At 32.9% G+C, this 23,898-nt stretch overlaps 1 non-coding gene and 1 pseudogene across 1 annotated transcript; both read right to left on the minus strand.

The window, feature by feature from the left end:
- The window catches only part of ANKRD30BP1 (ankyrin repeat domain 30B pseudogene 1), a 43,535-nt pseudogene continuing 19,899 nt past the window's right edge, over positions 263-23,898 (minus strand).
- MIR3156-3 (microRNA 3156-3) lies at positions 22,406-22,482 on the minus strand. Its single transcript, NR_036164.1, has one exon. It is a non-coding gene; the product is annotated as a microRNA 3156-3 (primary transcript).

Raw genomic sequence — 23,898 nt, forward strand, 5'->3', positions numbered from 1 at the left:
AAAGTAAAACGTCTCTTAGCTTTCAATTTGGTGGAAATGAGGCATGTTTCTAAGCTGATATAGTAAGTACATTTATCATCTATTTATACATATATATATACACACATATATATGTGTGTATATATATATACACACACATATATATATATATGTGTGTGTGTGTGTGTGTGTGTGTGTGTGTATATATATATATTCAACTAGATTCAGCATTTAGCCAAGGCCATTTTCTTTCAGGAAGGTTGAAAAGTATTTATATTTTTTGATACTTACTTCTCTTTCTGCTTTCTCTTTTTCATATTGATCTATACATTCTTTTAAATGGTTACCATAATTGAATACCTCCTCATTTTTCTCTTTTAGATGACGTTGCATTTTCGTCTCAGGAAACTGAATATTAATTGTTACCTTGCTTTTGTTAACTTTCTTATGTGCATAAACTAATTGCTGTCGAAGCCACCTATTTTTGCTTTCTAGTTTAAATAATTTCTGCTCCAGAGACTCCTGCTGTTCAGTGTGTTTGTCCACATTATCTTGTTCATTTTGATACATGTGTTCAGCTTTCTTCATTTGACACTGTGTTTCACATCGGTCTCTTTGTGCATGTTCCGAAACCAATGCATTTTCTCTTAGATCATCTCCTGCATAATTGAGATTAATTTTTGGGCTTTTGGATTTCCTTTGAGCTTCATAAAGTGGTTGATGGAGCACCTCATTGTTATATATTGTATTACTCACATCAACATTCATTATTCCTTGCAAATGAGCATCTCCTGCACTGTGGAAAGCAAGTTCTTGGTTTTTTCTTGATGTGACACTTTGATCATGGTCTTGTAAAGCAGAAGCCAGTCTAGGATGGTGTGATTCAATTTCTGTCTCCAGTATTTCTTTGTCTTGTTTTTCCTTCAATTTAGAAGTCAGCATCGTGTTCTCTGCTGTCAGAACTTTAAGCTGCTCTCTATACTGAGATGCCCTTTTTGTTAATGTTTTCTGTTTCAGTTTTAGGGTCATTTGAAGTTCAGCATTCTTTTCTTGTAAAATCTTAATGTCCTCAAAGTATTTATTTTCCTTCACCTGGTGTTGACGTTTCAGTGTGGCTACTTCCAGTTTTAGCATGGCAATTTCCTTTTTCAACATGCAATTTTCATGAAAGAGATCATTTTCACTTTCATGAGTGTGAGAAACCTAAATAAAACAAAATAAACATTTAACTAGCACTCAGTAAAATGGCATATCATAGTTCCTCTGAAATTAAAGAATAACTTGTACGTTTATACAATGAAAGGGTTTTTATAAGTAGGTATCAGTTGAAGAACCATTGAATCAAAACTTCAAATGCTATAGAGCATAAATTCCCCAAAGTTCAAACATTTATTTGGAGACAACGAATTCATGAAAGTAAAAGAGAAATGACTAGAGAATTTTTAAGAGCCTCAGAATTGAAAAAAAAACTTTCCCTGAATTACAACAAGCTCAAAAGCATAAAATAAAAGATTAATCAATTTGACTACATACGAAAATTGGGTTTACACTCTGATGTCTAACCTATACAAGATCCCATACTAAGAGCCTTAGTGCTACATATATTTAGACAGATAAAATTTCTGGAAGCTCTTTCAGTTCCTTTTTCCTGAGAATATTCTCTAGATATTCTGTTTTTCTAAAAAATATAGTTAATTGTGAGAATTATATTTATGAATGTTTGATAAGTTGAGACATTGTAACAAGCACTTTTAGTTATCACAATTCTGAAAGGAAAAGATTAAAAATATAATCAAGTTGTAGGATTTTCTCCAAGTCTTCTGAGTCTACATCCAGGACTTCTCCACCAAATCTCAGTTAATTCTACTGGGTAAATATGTAAATATAAAAGAAGTCTTCTATCTCAAAACAAAAGTGGTAAAGAAGATAAAATCTAGACAGCCCTACTTAGAAAACCATGAGCTTATTTACTACTACACTAACTTTTGCTTCCTCTTGATAATGTTTGAGTCAGTATTAAATGTTAACTAGGAAAAATACACTAAACTATGTTGCTAGGAATAAAATACTTACCAATAAATTATCACTAAGTATATGGTAGGGATTATCATTATTTTCAAAAGCTCTTTGTACTGAAATAAGATACTATTTGCATGCCATAATTTATAATAAATAACTGTAGCTACAAAAGTTATAGTTAATTTTAAGACAATACTTTTGTTTGATTTAGACCTGAATAACACATACTAAATCAAAGGGATGTTAAAAGTAATACTGATGAAATAAAGTCAGAAATATAAAATTTTTGCCAGAGATTGATTTACCTGATTCAAATTACTTGTTACACTTTTCAATTCTATATCTTGTATTCTGAGAGCCTGTTCAAGTTGTTGTTTCACTTCTAACTTTTTCCTAAGTTGCTCTTCAGGTCTAATTTTTTCTTTTAATATATCGACATCTCTTCTCTTCTTCTTGATTTAAAGTCAATCTGCCATTAAACATACTTATCTTAAAATTCATTTTGTTAGAAAATAGAATTCACTTTGAGATCTACTTCTTCCTATACTGGTTTATTATTCCAATAAAATTCCTATATTCCTGAATTTTTTTTTCTTTCTATTTCTCTGGTATTCATTACTCTGTAACCTCTTCCAAATGACATACATACTTGAAAAATAGTGAGAAAAAACTTCTTCTAGTTAGAAAGTTTCTGTTACTAGTAACTTTGACAACTGTTATGGAAAAGAATATTGGAAGCTATCTAGTAAATTTATAAGTTGAAAATTAGTTTTTAAAAAATCACACAGTCAAAATTACTCCTCAATGAGGACAAATCATTTAGAGTTAACTGATTAAAGTGACATTACTTTTTATGAAAAAGGTTTACAGATTTATTAGACATAAATATTTCTACTTATAAAATATGGCAAATATCCCTAAAAATAATTTGAATATTATAATCTCAGACTAGATTAAAGAGTCTAATATGTGTCATCCCATATGCCTTTTGTTTCTTTTTGAGTAAGACTTAAACATATCTTGTTGAGTATTATATATTTTTCAACAAATTTTAAATCTCCTTTAGAACAAGAGTGTAAACATTTAATTAAAGAATAAAAATAATATGTATTTTTAACCTAGAACTCTGAATTAATTTTATTTATGTAGGAGAGCGAGAGATGTTGAATAAACTAATCATAAATTATATTTTCTTTATATTCCATGCACATTAAGATTAAAAGTGTATAATTAAAGGAAATTGATTCTTGGAGAGAGAAGAATGGCCGTTTCACACTCTCTTTATTGAACTGTAAATGAATATAAATTTTCTTGAGAACAATTTAGAAGTAATGAACAAAGAACTTTTTAAAAACTTCCTATAATTTAACTAAATATTTCTATATTGAAGAATTTATTCCAAGTCAATAATTAGAAAGGTAAAAAAGATTTACATGCAGTTATGCGTTGTAGCATTTATAATACAAACAATTAAAAATCAAAAAAATTAATTTGTTAAGTAATGGTATTTCCAAATAATGGCCTTCTATATAGCCATTAAAATTGTGATTTAAATAAATATGCATTAATTATCAGTGGAAGTATTCACATTTAAGAACTTTTATTATTTAAAAGAATTTGACACTCTACAAGACAGATTTTTTTCTCCAGTTAAATCTCAGAATGTAAGTCAGCTTTTACAAAAAGTTTCCTACATACTTTTAGTATAAATAGTTGAAATATTTATTTAAAACTAGGATGTCATACCTCACACTGCAGAGCTCTTGTTCCCATTTAGCTTTTTGGTTCTCTAACTGTGATTTTATTTCTTTTGCTTCTGACAGTTCCTTTTGTAGTACACAAAACTTATTTTTTGTTTGTTCCATTTTTGCTGTAATTTGTTCACAGTGATCTTTTTTAAGTTCCCTTCCTCTTTCACAAGAAGGAACTGCATCCAAGATTTTTGATAGGGTAGTTGAATCTGTCTCAAGGAGGAGATAGAAATAAAATATATTAGTACTTTTGGGATATAAAGGGCTGCATATTTTAACAATCACTAACTCACACACTCAACAAATATATATTGATTGCCTACCATGTGGAAGGCATTATACTAAGCTCTGCAGATTAAACAGAAAAAAAAACTCTGCTCTTGTTTAGCTTAAAATATACTGAAAAGCAAAGCCCCAGAAAAGTTACAATTATAAATTCAGATAGATACTGTAAAAAAATAGATTGCTAAGAATAGGATCTGTACTAGGCCCACGGAAAATTCCCCCGAGGAATGTATGGCTACACTGAGGAACAAAGATTGAAAAGGAAGCAGTTGAGCAAGGGGGGAATAAAAGCATTTTAGCCAGTGTGTGGCATGTGCTGAAGCTCTAGTGTAGTCTGCCTCCAGCCAAGAGAGAACAACAGGTATTGATTTTTCTTCTTAGCTAAAATAACTAAAAATAAAATACACAAAATACACTAAACAATTTTTTAGACAGTGGACATTAGGCAAAGAAGATGATAGTCCCTGAAAAACAGAAAAAAAAAGTGGAAAGCAAACCTTAATGAATGTTTCAGCTTCTTGCCTTGACAGAGATTCCAAGACCTGACACAGGAAACAAAAACTGAGGTGGAACCTACCAGACTCTCTTGGTTACAGTGATAAAGCTTAGAGTCTGGTAAAACCAAAGGAGACAGACAATATAGAACAGAACACTGAGGAGGAGACAGAGATACAGAAACAAAAGCAAGAAACCCCTGGAAATTGCCTCCCAGTATTTAGCAAAATAATGAAGATTGCATGTAAGCCAGAAACTACCTAAGACCAAGCCAGGTCAGGGCGGAACTTATAAAATTAGAGAAAATCACACCTGGTGCTCACATAGTGCCAAGAAGAGTGTCTATTTTTATATATTTACCTGGGAAGACTCAGACTTCACAGGAAAATGAATAGTCTGAAAGGCCTTGCCTCAGGTGTGGGGAGTCAGCTCATAAAAAGCAAAAATGAAAAGGATCAAGCTGTTTATAAGTAACTCAACTCTATTCTACAATAAAAATCAAGAAGATAAGTAAAGCAATAGAAGATACTTTTAAAAACTAAATTGCACTTCTAGAGATACAAGTTACAATGCTGCAGATGAAAGCTACACTGAGTAGATATGAGCATAGATTGATTTGCCATCATGAAAGAAAAGATTCACAAATTTGAGATACTAGAGAACTATGAGCAAACTCCCAGCAGGTAATATGTAAGTCCACAAAGAGGTAGAAGGAGAGACAGAAAAAACATCTGAGGAAAAATTGGCTAAATATATTCTAAACTTAACAAATGCTACAATCCCACAGATCCAGGCTGGTATCTGGCTGGAAGTGAAGAAATGAAAATATATGATTGGAATTTCTTATACCATCTATGATATGATATAATATAACTTGAAGGTGAGTTGTGATGAGGTAAATCCATACACTATAAATCCTAAAACAACCACTAAGACAGCAAAGCAAAGTTATACCTAATAGCCAAATAAACTTATACCACAAAAAGATATGACTAAATCATGAAGAAATATACAACCAGATCAATAACTAAAAAACATTATACCTATATATATATATATATATATATATATATACATATAAAACTAAATTATAAAAATTACTAAACTAGTCTGAAGGAAGCAATAAAAGAACAAAACAAAGCAAAGAAGATCTGGGACTAACAGAAATCAAACAGCATGGTGACAGACAACTTTTATCACATCAATAATTACATTATAAATTAAACTGGTCTAAAAACCTCTGCTCAAAGGCAGATTGTCAGAACGGATATAAAAGTGAGATCTACCTGTATAACACCTATAAGAAATAAACTTTAAATATAAAGACAAAAATTGGTTAAAGATGAAACAAGATATACCACCCTAACGCTTGAAAAAAGAAGGCTGAGGAAGACTGGTTGTATTAATATCAAAGTACATTTCATAGCAAAAACATTACCAGCAATAAACAAGGTGATTTTATAGTGACAAAGGGTTCACTTAATCAAGAAAACATAAGTCCTAAATATTTATGTAGATAATAACATAAATGCTTCAAAATACATGATACAAAAATAGATAGAACTGCAAAAGAAATGGACAAATGCCTAAGTATAGTCTAAAATTTCTAAACCCCTTGCTCAAGTGGTAGAATAAGGAGGCAGAAAATCAGCAAGAATATGGTAGACTTAACACCATTCTTCAGAAGTACTCAAGGACTATATTCTAGATTATATCTTAGTAAAAGGATTAAGAAGGATTTAAGTCATACAAAACATGTTACCTGACCCAAAAGCAATCAAATTAAAAATCAATAATAAAAATGTACCTGAAACAACTCAACTATTGGAAATTAAGTAACATAACATCCAAATAACCCTGGGTTGGTTCCAAAAATAGTAAAAAGAAAAATTAGAAAGTATTTTGAACTAACTTCAAATGAAAACACAGCACATTAGATATTGTAAAATGCATCTACAACAGCACTTAAATAAAACTTTCCAGCATTGAATGTCTACATTAGAAGACTCTCAAGTAAATAACTTCGACTTTTACCTGAAGAAACTAAAAAAAAAAAAAAAGAAAGTAAATTCAATGGAAGCAGAGGAAAGGATACATATTCGTATTGGTTTGAATGTCTTTGTCCTTGCAATTTTCATATGCCAAAATGAAATCACAGAGGTGATGTTATTAGGAGGTAGGAGTTTTTGGATGTAATTAGGTCATGAGGGCCACCCTTCATAAATGGATTAATGCTCTGACAGAAATAACCCCAGAGAGCCTCTTTACCCTTTCTGCCATGTGAGGGCACAGGGAAAAAGAATGCATCAATGAATCATGAAGTGGTACCTCTTCAGACATCAAATCTGATGATACCTTGATCTTGAACTGTGCAGCTTCCAAAATTGTGAGAATTCAATTTATGTTGTTGATAAGCTCCCAACTATAGATTTTTTAAATACTAGGCAAAGAGAACTAAAACATCAGAGATGGAACTAATAAAACACAAAAATGATGGAAGAGTTGAAAAATACCAAACACTTTGAGAGGATCAATAAAAGCAAAAGTCTATCTAGCCAAACTAGCTCTTGAAAAGAGAAAGCTACAATTACTAACTTTGGAAATGAGTTAATGTGACATTATTTTAGATTCTACAGATACTTAAAAATACAAGGTAATATTATAAAATTTATGTGAATAAACATGACAACTTAGACAAAATGGACAAATTCATTGAAATGTGAAAATTACCCTCTGATCTTTGACAAAACTGGAAAAAAAGCAATGTGAAAGAATTCCCTATTTAATAAATGATGTTGGGAAAACTGGCTGGCCATATGCAGAAAACTGAAAGTTGACCACTTCCTTACACCTTATACAAAAATTAACTCAAGATGGATTAAAGACTTAAATGTTAGACCTAAAACCATAAAAAGCCTAGAAGAAATCCTAGGCAATACCATTCAGGACATAGGCATGGGCAAATACTTCAGAACTAAAACATCAAAAGCAATGGCAACAAAAGCTAAAATTGACAAATGGGACCTAATTAAACTAAAGAGCTTCAGCATAGCAAAAGAAACTACCATCAGAGTGAACAAAATGAACAGGCAACCTACAGAATGGGAGAAAATTTCGGCAATCTATCCATCTGACAAAGGGCTAAATCCAGAATGTACAAGAACTTAAACAAGTTTTAAAAAAAAAATCGAACAACCCCATCAAAAAGTGGGTGAAGGATATGAACAGACACTTCTGAAAAGAAGACATTTATGCAGCCAACAGACACGTGAAAAAAATGCTCATCATCACTGGCCATCAGAGAAATGCAAATCAAAACCACAATGAGATACCATCTCACACCAGTTAGAATGGCGATCATTAAAAAGTCAGGAAACAACAGGTGCTGGAGAGGCTGTGGAGAAATAGGAACACTTTCACACTGCTGGTGGGAGTGTAAACTCGCTCAACCATTGTGGAAGACAGTGTGGCGATTCTTCAAGGATCTGGAACCAGAAATACCATTTGATCCAGCGATCCCATTACCGGATATATACCCAAAGGATTATAAATGATGCTACTATAAAGACACACGCACACATATGTTTATTGTGGCACTATTTACAATAGCAAAGGCTTGGAAGCAACCCAAATGCCCATCAATGATAGACTGGATTAAGAAAATGTGGCATATATGTACCATGAAGTTCATATGTACTATGAAGTCTATACTGCACTGTTTCAGGGAAATAATGTGTTACAACAGCATAGCTTTAATGGTCCATAGGTCACAGTTTTCACTTTTATTAAAGTAGATGATTGTACATAGTGATACTTGAAATATTTTAGTTTCAGTTTCTAATATATCAAAAATCAGTAGGTAAAAACCAACTTAAATGAAGACTGATATCTCATTTATTTTTATTTTCATATATTTGTTTTTTGCATAAACAAACTTTAATTAGTTGTGGTGCAGTTATATAATGGAATTCTATAAAGAACCTAATATAAACAAAACCAAAGTTAATTCTACACATTATGGATGGATCTAACAATATAATGCTGATCAAACAAAGAATGTTACAGAAAATTACACAATGTACAATTATTTACATATTAGCAGTTGAAAACAAATTCTACATATTATCTATGACCATGCACATATGTCGTATAATGTTTAAGCATGCATAGGAATAATATAAAAAACCAGTTTAGACAATTGTTTACCTCTAAACCATGAAAAGACACAAAGCCAAATGCTTCAGAATCACAGTTTTACCAAAATGATCATAAAGAAATGATTACTTCTCCCATTTATTATTATTATTATTATTTCTGTTTGTTTGTTTGTTTGTTTTTGAGACGGAGTCTCGCTCTGTCCCCTAGGCTGGAGTGCAGTGGCGCCATCTCGGCTCACTGCAAGCTCCGCCTCCAGGGTTCACGCCATTCTCCTGCCTCAGCCTCCCGAGTAGCTGGGACTTACTTCTCTCAGTTTTTAAAAATTAAGGGTACCACACACAAACACACATATGCATGCACACAGGCACAAACGTGCACACCACATACACATACACACACACACACACACACACACACACACACAGAAAGTAAGCTAATCAGAACAACAGATTTCCTTAGGATGCTTCAAATGACTACAGTCCCATGAGGTAACCAATGTTAAAACACAATTGGCATGTCAAAATTGAAGCTTTCCCTGCAGTAAAGGGTAGAATTTGAATCAATTTTTGAACAGAAAAAATATTAGAGTTTAAAAATACACCTTCTTGAATCTTTAAGTCATACAGACATTCCCAATACAAAACATTACAGTATGAGGACATGAAAGCAGAAACACCTGAAATTAAAGCTACTTTTTAAAAAAACTAATTAAAATTCGTGTTCTTGTAAGTAATCAGTTTTTCAAATGTGGATACCACTATTGACATTATTAACTCAAATATTTCCATAATATTTGAAAAATAAACATTGGGGAGATGAGACTATTAATATGTCAACTATTGAAATATTCATTTTAATATAGTTGAACTGTAAAATTAACCTGCTCTCAATGTTTGTTTATTCTTCCATTCTAAGCCTTTATTTGGAACAGAGTTTTGCATTTCAGTGGCAGGCTAAACGGGTTTGGAAGAAAAATGATTAATAACGAATGTGTACTTCACAAAATACATAGTTAATAAATAATGCAAGATAAAATTATAAAACTCAATACCTCAAAGTGAGAAGGCTTTTCAGGAGACTCTAAAAAGCAAAAGAGATTTATTATCGGTCATAAGTAAATATGACAAAATCAGCCACAAATGAATCCAGTGATAGTATCTAACTAAGTCCTTTTTCTCAGCTTTGAGAATGACTCCTTTAGGTTTAGGGGGTTTTCTTTCGGTATGTTTCTTTAGGACACTCACATGACAGAAATACACTGAAGAAACTAGGAATCTAGGCTTCATCAAACATGCACGTAAGACTTCAAAAGTGAGAATGTGTTGTGCATGCAAAATGTGTTGATATTAATATGTATATGCTGAGTGATGAAAAGAGAAATGATCTTTGATCAGAGGAGCAAATTATGACCCAGAAAAAATAAATGTCAAAGCTGAATATAGAATCCTACACCATATATTCAGTGAAATACACTGGAATAATTTATATCATTACATTAATCATGTTCTTTAATTTGTCCTACAATTGAGATGGTACACCGTTATGATGAGAGTTCAGCTGAATGCAGAACTGACATCTCATCACTGAACATGTTACAAATTGATCAGCTTGGATATTTACTTAATGGATAATACTAAATAAAATATTCATTGTTTCCCATATCCTTGCAGTGTAATCATATGCCTACATTGCTGTATCTTCTAGTTTATCCTCAGAAATTTTCTTGATTCACTCATGCAAAAAATACTATAAAACTCATTAAAAAAATTGTATAGTGAGCTTTCAATATTGATATGTTTATTTGAAAATTTATGGCAACATACTTATCACATATAAATAACATTTTATATTTTTAAATCAGACAATATTTATTTTAAAAAACAATTTTAGAATTCAAGTAATAAATTCTGTAATTTTTTGTTTCTAAAAATTAGTTGGCTTTGTTTATTATGGTAAGTGTCTAATAGATTTTTATAGAACAACAATTTTACCAAAACAATTTGCTTCATTAAACATAAAGCCAATGCTCTTAGATTCAAATATCTCTCATTTGAATAGCTAATATCAACAAAATATAAACATTTTATGCCTGATAGTAATAGAGAAAACTAATGAGTCACCATGGTTTACTCCAATTCTAGTAATCCTCCTGCTTCCGGTAGTCTCTGGAGTACCCACAATCTAATCTTCTGGAGTGCAAATATTGTAAATGCAACTGAAGTGAATTCACTCAAATTTCCTTTTCAGAAACTCCAAAGTTGGCTGGCTATATTCTTTCTTGCTGCGTTTCATGCCTCACAATCCCTCTTCCTTAGCCAAAATAATGTCTACATCTGTGGTCTTGATTCTTCCCATTCAACATCTTTTAAAATCAATTTTCCCAACACTTTCTTTCTCTTTGATTAGGGTAGTATCTGACATCTGTAATTACTATTTCTTTACCTCTTTTTTCCCCTCTGGTCAGAAACATACTCAGAAATAAAAGCAATATAATGCTTTCTCTTGACCCTGCTATGTCTTGAACTTCTATCCAACTGCCCTTCTTCCAGATTTTTCCAAAGGAAAGGCTGTTCCCTTGCTACTTAAGAGTGAGGTCCAAGGACCACCAGCAACAGCATCACTTGAGAATTTATTAAAAATGCCAGAATCCCAAGTCTGCTGAGTCACAGCGTGCATTGTTAACAAGGTATTCAGCTGATTTTCTAAAGTGTGAAAACTTCTCGTCTATACTGAGAGTATATAACAAATTATATACACGCATGGCTGTGCAAATATGCTTATATTCACATACTGCAGATAAAACACAACTCTCCATGGTCAGGTGCTTCCATCCCTAATGCCTTCCCACCGGTGAGAAAGATAAGACCGACAACATGTTTGCTGTAATTCTCTGCCAAATTTTGGTAATGGAAGGTCACTTTATATTCTTCCCAGCTTTCTAACCATGCTCTATCTTTCTCTAAAGAGTTATTTTATTTTACCATTCTCCATTATGTAAACCTGCTTTTTGTTCCCTCATGTACTCCCTGTACTCTCTGTCTTCCTCAGTCTTCATTCCTTGTTTTACTCCTTTCCTCAGGTCTTAGAGTATGTTGAATTTAAACTAATAATTCAGCTCTTTTTTGGCACTCTCAATATAATCTGTTGCCAACACCTGAGAAGACACATAACTTTCACTGCCTTTGTTCTTCCATGTTATGCATTTAAAAAATAATTTTCTCTGGCTGTCAGAGTATATCAGTCCTCATGCTTTGAGACAAACATTTGGACAAAAGATGTTTTAAATAAAAAATGGTTCTTACCTTCTATTTTGCCATTTGTTGTCTTTATTTCTTTTTGATATGTAGCCTAAGTAAACACTCATAATTCTGTGTATCACTCACAGAGATAATCTGTTAAAGATAATATTAATAATTTCTTTTTTTACTATTTTTTTATTTTGTTTTTCTGAGATGAAGCCTCGCAGTGTTGCCCAGTGGCATGATCTTGGCTCATTGCAACCTCCGGCTCCAAAGACCAAGTAATTATCCTGCCTCCGTGTCCCGAGTAGCTGGGACTACAGGCATGAGCTACCACACCTGGCTAAATTTTTGTATTTTTAATAGAGACAGGTTTCACCATGTTGGCTAGGCTGGTCTCAAACTCCTGACTTCAAGTGATCTGCCCACCTCGCCCTCCGAAAATACTGGGATTACAGGTGTGAGCCACCACAGCCTGCCTCAATAAATAATTTCAATTTAAAAATAATAATGACAAGCATCACATTTTTTATTAAAAATCTTTTTTAAAACACATTTTTTAACTTTAAAGGCAATTAGATTTAAGGCTGTTCACATACTGAAAACCAAAACATTTCAAGAGAAAACCTCAAATATGCTCTGTAGATTACGCTTATCTTTTATTTTCATGTGGCTATTGACTAGGTTACTGAGCAAGGAAAATAATCATATTCGCAAAAAAATTCACTCGTGCATATTTTAAAAGGAATTTACTTCAAAGTATCTGCCTTACACTGTAGTCCTCACCAAAAACAATAGGACATTTCAAACAAAATACAATATGATTCAACATTTGACATATGCATAATTATAGATTTTTTTGGTTAAAAACTATGCATGGCATGAAGAGAATTTTCAGAGTATGTCGTGCGAAGTAGGAATAGAACTCTGTTAAAAGCTGTTTCATTTAGGAAAACAAGGGCATAAAATAATGAAAATAATTTTACATCTTTTTTGCTGATACAGAACTGCTTGAATAAAAGGAAAGATTCTTAAGGAAAATTTATATTTATGTTATTTTTAAATGAAAACAAGCAATCATTAGATAAAGTATGCAATTCGTTCTTAAGGCATAACTTCAGAAAAGTAGAGCAAGCCTTCATATAAAGAGAAAAATAAAAACATGTATTCGTGAAACATCTAACATGTGACAGACACATATTTGCAGACTTTTCTTCACCTTAGAATAATGAGGATAACGATGACATTGGTGGTTACCCCACTTTCTGTATCCTAGTCATTCTAGGTTGTTAAGAACAAAATGATGAACAAATATGGTCCACTGCCCTCTCTGTTCAGAAGTCTTCCTCCTAGACTTTCATATGGCATACTCCTCATCTTTGAGACGGGAGATTAAATGGCAGTTGCAGAAAGATCTACTCTGACCATGGAATTCCACTGCCACTCCCATACGCGTGCTAATTATAAAGTTCTTCAATTTTCTCTTAAGGAACATTCTCTGTTTTGTTTTAAAGAAAAAGTTACAGTAATTTGTAAGTGTTTTTCATTTGTTATTCTCTTCCTACTACTGCAGCATAATCTTTCATCTTGGATATTCAGAGACTCACTGCCTAGTACACAGCTGGTACTCAGAAAGAAATTACTCCAGGTCAAAACATTGAAAATCTCATCAGGAAAGTCTCACTTTCCAAACTGCTATATTTCTATGGAAAATCTGCAGTAGTAGCCTGCTGAAAGTTACCATCCCCTTACCCAAAATTAGAAATCCACATGCCTGTTCTTACTTCCCATTCTTGTGCTAACAATACTGCTTTCACATAAATGCCACTTTGAACATTTTGTCTTACATTTGTATACAGACTTTCCAGTTTAAAAAATGTTTTCACATTTGTTACAACATTATTTCTTCACATGCACCTAAGAGGTAGATATGAGCGCTATTTTTATAAACAAAGTTACTGGTATTTGATTAGATTAATTGATTTTTTTTCCAAGTTCCCATAGCTAGTAAGTGACAGAACCAAATACAGACTTATCTTTTGACATCCACTCATTGCTGTTACCACTATGCAGCTGCTGCTTCTGCCTAACTGGTGAGGCCTTTGCTATCTCTTCCACATCCACAGTTGTGACCTTGGAATACATCATTATTATTTGATACCTATGTGGCTGCAAACATGGCTGCCATAAATGGACTCAAAGAGTTCTATTTGTGGAAAAAAGTCCACTTATTAAAATACTACTCAACCAAATTGTTGTTATTATAGTTTTACAGGTGTCCTATTTCTCATGTTTATCCAACTCCTGAAATGTTCCTTCAGATCTATACTGGATAATCAAAATATGCCAATACTTTCAGAGTCCCAGGAATTATCTTTTCAAGTTCCAAGTTGAGTAAGACTAAGACTACAGTTTAAACTCTTTCTCCTCGAATCCAGTTAGAGCTTTTGTACATCTAGATATACACAGAATCATACAGTTTTGCCCATAAATGAATGTGGAGACATCATTTAGTTTTTAGACAAACTTAACTTCAGAACTCAAGTAGATTCCTAATGCCTTCTAAGCCTTATTTTGTTTTGCACTACTCTACAATGGCTTCAAAATTAATCCTGCAAATTAGCAGAATTGCACTATGCAGCTGTTATCTACTTGGAACATGATTATAAAGTATGTTCTGATAAATGTCAGAAAATAATTTCTTTTTTTTTGGTTTGTTTTTTGAGATGGAGTCTCGCTCTGTTGCCCATGCTGGAATGCAGTGGCATGATCTGGGCTCACTGCAAGCTCCACCTTCTGGGTTCACGCCATTCTCCTGCCTCAGTCTCCTGAGTAGCTGGGACTACAGGTGCCTGCCACCATGCCTGGCTAATTTTTTTGTATTTTTAGTAGAGACGGGGTTTCACCATATTAGCCAGGATGGTCACAATCTCCTGACCTCGTGATCCACCTGCCTTATGGACATAATCAGAGGTGAGAGAATAAAGTCAAATCATCTTTTTATGTTTTAAGATTACTGAGTACTTAAGTTTTAAAATAACAACAACAACAACAATACACAGTACCTCAGAATCTGAAGTTGATTTTGTATCTTCTTTTCTTCCTAATTCTGATGTGGGCATCTTATCTACAAAATGTTATTCACAGACATGTATATGAGAATGTTTATTACTGTAAATCATAAAACTATATACAAATCTATTTCCATTTATGAGTATTTCAAAAATAAAAATAATAGCAAAAATAGAATTTCAGAATTGAAGCAGGTTCAGAAAAAAAAGAGTTGATAGTATGAAGAAAGATATCAAAATGTACTTTTTTAAGTAGACATTGTATTTTGGGCTAAAAAATTGTTTTCTATATAACAGCATTTAAACACAGAAAAATTTTCAGAGATATTCACTAACTTACCACTTCTATTATTTTGGTATAAAAAATAAAATTGTCATTACTTGTTTGATCTTGTGGAGCTCGTTCAATAATGCCAATATCACGTTCTCGTTGTCCAGTTACTGTCTTTGTTGCTGCCTCCTATTACAAACAAAACACAGAAAGCAAACACACACAAAAAAAACTTCAGAAAAAATTGTATTTATTCACTCAATCAATTTGTCAGAAAGACAACAACAACAACAAAAAACATACTTTGTATCTGTCAAATCATATGCACTATCCTGGGAGAAGCAGAAAATATACATGGAAGATACATTCTGGCTTATGTTCAAGAAATGGTAGAGATATGTGAAAACAAATAAGAACAAAAAGTAAAATTCACCAGTTCTACAATTTAAGTCAATAAAATACATAAGGGCACAAAGGAGAGAAAAATCAGTTTTACCTGAAAAGCTTAGAAAATGCTGCCATAATGGGGCCATATTGGGAAGGACAGACAAAGTGCAGAGTCAGGATACAAAGACTCTAGGTGCAATAGCATGTGCAAAATAATAAGGCATGAAACAACATGGCCACTGAGGGATGCCAGAGTGATGTGGTAAAACTGGAACACAGTCAGAGCAAATGAGTTAAAGAGATAAAATGAGACCAAACCATATAAGATATGTATCACGCTAGAATGTGAACTTACCCCTTCATGTAATGGGTATCCACTCAATATGCAGATGAGTTACATCATTACAAGTATATTTCAGAAAGGTGACCCTTCCAGTGATGTAAAGATGAACATGGGGAGATGGGGCAAAACTAGAAAGGAGTACTTCAAAATTATAGGTAGAGAGTTAATTATGGTAATAAGATATGGAAAATTATAAGAAGGCAGAAAATACAAAATTAGGTGTGTGACTGGATGGGTGACATGGAGAAGGGTTGAAGTGCAGGATGTAGGGGACGGTTGAAGTGCCGGTTGAAGTGCTTGAGCATTTCATGGCTACTTCCTAGGTGTTATTTACTAGGATGGGGAAACCAGATGACAGAGTAGATTACAAAGAGTCAGAAAAGAGTCAGAAAAAAATAAAATAATGTTTTCAGTTTGAGACCTATAAGATTTGAGGCATCCATGGGGCTTAGAAGAAAGATCTGGATAAAGACATTTGGAGTATGAGTAGATGACCTACATGAGGAAAATTACATAGTGATTAGAAAATAAATATTTGTAAGATAGACTAAATGGGTAGAATTAAGCAACACAAATCTATGCAGACTGCTGAAATTTTGAAAATGAAATCAAAGGAGAGAGAAAAACATGGGATTAAGTTTCTCAGTTATATATTTCCAAATTTATTTCAAGAATATAATTTTATTTATATAGGTAAATATTTATTTCTGAAATATTTTTTGCAATATGCATCTTTGAATTGAATGAAAACATTTAATTCTAAAACAACAAGATTCTGCAAAATGACCTTTATAAAAACCTTGAAATTTTTAACTGTACAAGAGAAATGCTTACCCATAGAATTATAAGGCATTTTTAAGTACTACTATAAAGTGAGATAGAAATGTGAAACTGTTTTAAAATTCACATGCTTTTCTTATGCTCCTGCAAACAAGATAATGCTAGCTCAAATTGCCTATTTACACCATATAGGATGGTAGTTTAAAACTGGAGAAAAGATCTCATATAAAGAAAATTAAGCAACAATTATTCAAGTTGATGATTTAATAGTTTTTACGTATATCTATGATTGTCAAGTAGAATTCAGTATTCACAGGAGAAGTGAAGAAAGAAACTAAAAAGTTCAAGTCAACAAGATTCCTGAGTTTTAGAAATAAACAAATATATGTGCAAGGTGTAATAGTTATGAAGACTAAAGTTAATAAGGCTTCCTGGAAAAAATATAAAATATCCCCATTGCAAGAGATATTTTTAAGTGTAAAAAGTATTCTTCCAATGATAAGTTTGTTTACTCTGTTAAATCTTCCCTTACGTATGATTCTATGATAATAGGTACTTTACTTTAAAACAATTGACAAATATTGATTACATTCATTTGATGTGTGCATGTAATACCATTACATACCTATATTATGAGCAAAAATGTCAGAATATTTCTAGAGATTAATAATTTCTACATTTCTTTGACAGTGTTGTAGCTTAAAAGTGATTCTTCTCTTTTAGGAGACACAGATTAAGAACCATGTTCATATGATCAGAAACTTTAATTTTAATAACAAGTTTAAATAAAATGTTTATTTATTTATACTCTATTATCAAAAATATTCAAAATGGCTACCAAGATTATATAAAAGAGTAAGATAAGTTAAATAACCTAAGAATATGTCAAATATTAAGTTAGAAATCTTAAACCAGAAACCAAAGAATCAAAAAGTAATAATTCACAATAAAGTTGGCAAGGCCTAAAACAGATTTCACTTTGCATTCTACAAAATTATAAGTACGACTAGATTAAATATAAGACATAAAGTTACTAAAAGAAGTAAGAATTAAATTTTTGTTCCTTGTTTATAATTTTTTTGTTGACACACTATAAATGTACGTTTTGGGGGTACATATCATCACTTAATACATTCACATAATCAAATCAGAATAATTGAGATATTAATCACCTTAAGTATTTATCTTTCCTTTATGCTAGAAACATTCAAATTATTCTCTACTAGGTATTTTAAAGAGTACAACAAATTGCTCCTACCTATACTCGTCCTTATATTTTCTGTCAGCTTTTTATTAAAATCAGCTATAAGTCACTCAAAAACACCTGAGCTATCTTTTATTAGCTGGCTATGTTTTCTTAATTTTTATTTTAAATAATTTACATCATATCTTTTATTCTAGAGAGTTCCTGCTCTCATTTAAACCACTATTTTTGCTGTGTTTTTATAAGAATCTGTCTCATCCTCTCTCATGTAGTCTCTGTGTTTATCTTACCCTTCTTCAACGAATTATTTCCTATTATCCCCTTCATCTAATTTATTATTATACAAATATGGTGGTATCCATTATTTTTTTAAACAAAATTACCTACGACAAAAATTTATTCTTACACAGTTTATAGTACTGTAGAAATAATTAAAATTTTAAAATTACATGTTATATTTTGAAATATCTCTTCACAATTTACAGTTGTATTAATTACCTCTTGTGTGGAAAAATGTGAGAGTTTAGTTTTTAATAGTACCTTATTTAACTGGGTTTGCATTGAAATGGTATAGGTTGTTTCTATTCTGTGTGGCAAAAAGCTAATAAATAATTGTATAAATTCTGCTTCTTCCAAGAAACAGAGAAAAAAAAGAATAAATCATGGGGGGGGGGCAATGATTGAGTAATGAAAATCATACATAGCAACTAAATAGAGACCTGTAAATAAATATGCTGACAATTGAGACAGAGATGCCCTCAAAAACAGACATTGAAGAAATGTATTCTGTGAGAAAAAAGTCTCGGGTAAATCATTTTTAAAAAGGTGAAGGAGACGGAAGAAACAAACAAGAGCCATGATCCGTCAATCATGAGCTTCAGTCGTGAAAGAAAAGGAGAAACAGCTACGCGAAGACATGTGATGAAATACAAAAAATACAGACTTTTGTTAATAATATTGCTGATCAGTATTTACACTACAATTAGTTATTTTGTTAATACTTGTGTAGTAAAGATTTTATTTTTAATATTATATAATAAGAAAATTAGTTAAACATGGTCTTCAGCCAATACCTAAAAGCGAGAATATTCTTACTACAGAGAGAGAAAATTTTAAAAAGGAATGTTTCATAAACTTTTCACCTGAAGAAAGTATTGGTAATCAGAATTTTAGAGTAATGTATTCCTTGAAAAGATATGTTCAATAGAACATGAGTTTCATCCTGGCTAACACGGTGAAACCCCGTCTCTACTAAAAATACAAAAAATTAGCCCGGCATGGTGGCGGGCACCTGTAGTCCCAGCTGCTCTGGAGGCTGAGGCAGGAGAATGGTGTGAACCCGGGAGGCGGGGCTTGCAAGTGAGCCCACATTGCGCCACTGCACTCCAACCTGGGCGACACAGCGAGACTCCGTCTCAAAAAAGAAAAAAAAAAGAACATGAGTTTCGGCTGGACATGGTGGTTCACGCCTGTAATCCCAGGACTTTGGAGGGCAGATCATGAGGTGAAGAGATTGACACCATCCTGGGCAACATGGTGACACCCTGTCTCTACTAAAAATACAAAAATCAGCTGGGCATGGTGGCATGCACCTGCTGTCCCAGCTACACAGGTGGCTGACGCAGGAGAATTACTTGAACCAAGAAGGCAGAGGTTGCAGTCAGCCGAGATCACGCCACTGCACTTCAACCTGGGCGACACAGCAAGACTCCATCTCAAAAAAAACAAAAAGCAAACAAACAAAACATGAGTTGAGACTAAAATATATTAAATTTTTTAAAATCTGAACTCCACTTGGAGGATACTAGAAAATATAGTGTAATCTTCTTTCCTATTTACTACATATCTCTGATTTATTGTCTTCTTATTTATGACATAATTTCTTAAGATAACACAAGTTAATTTATGCATTCTAAATATTAAAAGAAAATATAAATTTAAGCCATATTTTAGAAACGCATTAGATTTAATTATAAGGTATATTATGCATATTATCTTACTTGTAATATTCCATTACATAAAAATTCATTTGCTTATTTATTCACATTGAAAACCTCTTAAAATGCTTTTTACAGGCAAGACTGTATTCTGGGTACACTAGGATGCACACAAGTATGTTTTCTAACCTGCAGTATCTCATAGTGATGCAAGAGCTTCAAAACAATTATTTAAATAACTAAATAAAAAATCTTCTGAAATTTAAAATTTTCAAATGTGATCAAAGATCTTTGAACAATATGTTTAAAAAGTGCAATTTAAAAACTCTGAAATTAAAATCTTACCATATGCTTATTAAGAGTCTCTGCTTCCAGAACTGGTTGTTTACTTGGGGTGAAACCTGCATTCTTCATTTAGTTGAAGAATTTAAAGTATACTTTTAATGAAATAACTTAGAAAACATCCTCACATGCCTTAATAATACAGATTCTGAGAAAGAGAATTTACATTTCTAAATTTCTACAATTATATTCAAAATTAGAGATAAGTTCTCACTATGTGCCCACACTGGTCTCAAACTCTTGGGCTCAAGCAATCTTCCTGCATCACCCTCCTTGGTAGCTGGAACTACAGGCATGCACCACCATGCCCAAATAAATTTTCACAATTTCTAATATTATTTTGGTGTTTAATTAAAGAACCAAGAAGAGAAACTGATAAAAAGCTCTCTCCTAAAAACTACATGATATCAAAATAATATGTGCCAAAAAAACCTATATGCTATGTGGCACAGTTTCAGAACTGAACTTTATCAGACAGATTCCCTGATTACTGTAATAAGTAACTGGATCCATTAAAGATAATTTTAAGGATGAGGTTTTTTTAAAGTTACAATAGAATAATTTTAAAAGTCACAGTAAGTTTACTTATGCAAAGAAACCTTTACCAGATTTTATATATTCTCTATTGTGGACACGTTTTTTCTAATATAATGTTGCTGTCACTATGTATTCTACAGCCCGTTCCAGTTTTTGGCCCTCACACCCTCAAAGTATTTACCAATCATTTGTTATTTACTGAAGTAAAACAAACAAACAAAAACAAAAAACAAAAAAACTGTTTAAATCAACTACTCATATTTCTATAAAATGTTTTTATGTGACCAACTTTATATTACCAACATGAAATTATGATACATACACCACTGCTAAACATGAAAAGTAAATACTATACAGAATTAGATTCCAACTGAGAAAATCAATTTAACAAGAGACCATTTTACCTTGGTAGTACGATTAAAGTCTTCCTCAACTTTTGTAGACTGTGAATTTTCAGTAGTCGGTTTGCCAAAAAGACTAGAGAAAAAAGATAAAACAAAAATGAGCAAATTCATATATTTAAAAAGAAAATCTGCTAGTTCATATCTTGGTGCTCACTCCAAAAAATGAGAACAAAAAAAATCTGGGGAAAGATCAGTCCTCGATATATTAAATCATGTTTCTTGGCATAATTAAAATATGCCATCTGGTTTTTGTTGTTTTTTTTTTTGAGACGGAGTCTCGCTCTGTCGCCCAGACTGGAGTGAGATGGCGCGATCTGGGCTCACTGCAAGCTCTGCCTCCCGGGGTTCACGCCATTCTCCTGCCTCAGCCTCCCCAGTAGCTAGGGCTGGAGCCCACCACCGCGCCTGGCTAATTTTTTGTATTTTTAGTAGAGACGGGGTTTCACCGTGTTAGCCAGGATGGTCTCGATCTCCTGACCTCATGATCCGCCCGCCTCAGCCTCCCAAAGTGCTGGGATTACAGGCGTGAGCCACGGCGCCCGGCCCCTCTGTTTTTAAAAAAGATTGTATTTACCTATTTTCGACTCTATCTCTCCAACCTGTAACATCCAATGAACACTCACTCTTAGTTCCATAAAAAATAGTGACCGCCAATATAATTGGCATACCCTGAGTATAATTCGTCCTCACAAACTGTCCTCTATGGTGAACTGAAAATGTACTTAATGGCTGACATAACTTTTGATATCTAAACTGGAACAAACTTGATAACCTAAAATGAGGAAGAAAGGTACAGTTACCTTGTCCCTTATCCATTGTCTATCTCTGATTCAAAGACTAATCTGTGTCACTGGAAAATGACATTCTTTGTTTTTCGGCATAAAAACCACTTAAAAAGGCCTTGTTGCTTCCCTTCACCCTAAAACGCTACAAGAGAGTGCCCTGAAATATCTGAAATGTTGAAAAGCTGAACCTACAAATGTCAAAATACAAATCTATATTTGTTATTGGGAATAGTTTTCTCACAAAAATTGAAATATTAAAAGTAATAAAGTCTAACTACTTATTTTATAATTGTCCTTCCTTGTTCAGGTCTACATAAACTAGCAAAGCCTTAAAAATCTTCATAGGTACTTATACCCAAGGAGAGAGACTGCTAGAAAAACTGAGTCCTGATAGTTGAATTTCTCTAAGTACTATATATACAGAGAGAAAGATCAGGAAGTGGGAGCCACTATATATAGTGAAAGTGTCTCCCACTTCCAGATCTTTCTTCTGCAGAGCTTCATGGCAGTCTCCAACCTTTAAACATTTAGCTCATCTAAGCACAGATTACTGAAAAGATAAACTCAATGACCAACCAATAAGCTCTGTATTTACCTGTTCCTGAAAAACAACTAAATGGAGTCTCAGTCATGTTACCAAAAACCCAACTGAAGCTCCATGACTAATTTGACAGCCAATCTTCCCCCTGCTTTACATGTACATGGGTAGGACATCAGAGGCTTGGAAGAAGAGGCAAACGGGAGGGGACACCTGCCTTAGGCCACAGATCTATGTAATTCAGCAACCTTCAATCCCCTAGCACTCAAGGGGCTCTAAGCCACTCCTGTGAGATTTGGGGTGAAAGAACAGAATAGGACATTTCTATTCTGATTGTGGAGACTTTTCTGAGTTGGTCTTTTTTTCTAAATCTTTCAATAGAAATCTTGAAGTTTGCCCATTCCTCCAATTAAACAAGCAAAAAAAGCAGCAACCTATTCAGGACTTCTTTGAACCCTATTTTAGTATGCCTTTCTAGATAACTCCCAATGTCTTCTGTGTTTTTGGTCCTCTAATTTATCTTCATCAAACGTCATAAGATCCAATATTCTGATCTCTTTGGTAAATAAAACCCTTACTCCTACCAATCCTGGGATTGTTTCTCTTCAAACTTGGCCTTTCCCTGATAATTCCATTCTTATCTACTTCCACTGGGTTCTCCAGCTAATTCCATTCTTATCCCTTTCCATTTGTTTAATCAGATCCATCCCCTTTTCCTTTCTATTATTCAAACACTCACTTACATGATGATATAAAAACAAGAGTAATGGGCTTTGAAATGAGTTTAAATATTACTTCTGCTACCTCTTGTATTTAAATAAGTCACTTTGAGTTTCAGATTCTCCATGTGAACAACAATTTTTCCAGGATATTAAATAGAGTTTAAAATATGAAAGTATTTTGATTAGTCTCCAAGAGTCCTAAAAATCCTAAAATTCCATGTGCTTTAATTTTAGCTATAGAAAAACGGGGCTGGCAGAAAGAAATAAAATAATAGAAGAAAAGAATACCAAGGAAAGCAGAGAAGAAAGTAATCAGGAAAAGATTATAAATAAGTCATGAAAGAAGAGAAAAGACTCTAGAAAAGAAAATGAAGAGTGCATGCAACTAAGAGGGGAATGCTTTGAAGAAGAACTAAATTAAGAAGTCAGTAAATAGAGAATTCTATAAGAAATAGTCTCTAAATATGATTAACATATCTATATGTAGATATTCTCCACTAAAAGTGAAATAATCCATCTATAGGATTTACCTGGTATTGCATATGAAACAAAAGCCTATGTCTTGTGGCCACAGCTAAGTAAGATCTGCTCTAAAAACGGCGATAAAAACAAGGTACTGGTTACCACTTTAACAGTTAAACATGTTAGAAC

The sequence above is a fragment of the Homo sapiens genome, chromosome 21 (genome assembly GCF_000001405.40).
Source record: "Homo sapiens chromosome 21, GRCh38.p14 Primary Assembly".
Classification (NCBI taxonomy): Eukaryota; Metazoa; Chordata; class Mammalia; order Primates; family Hominidae; genus Homo; species Homo sapiens.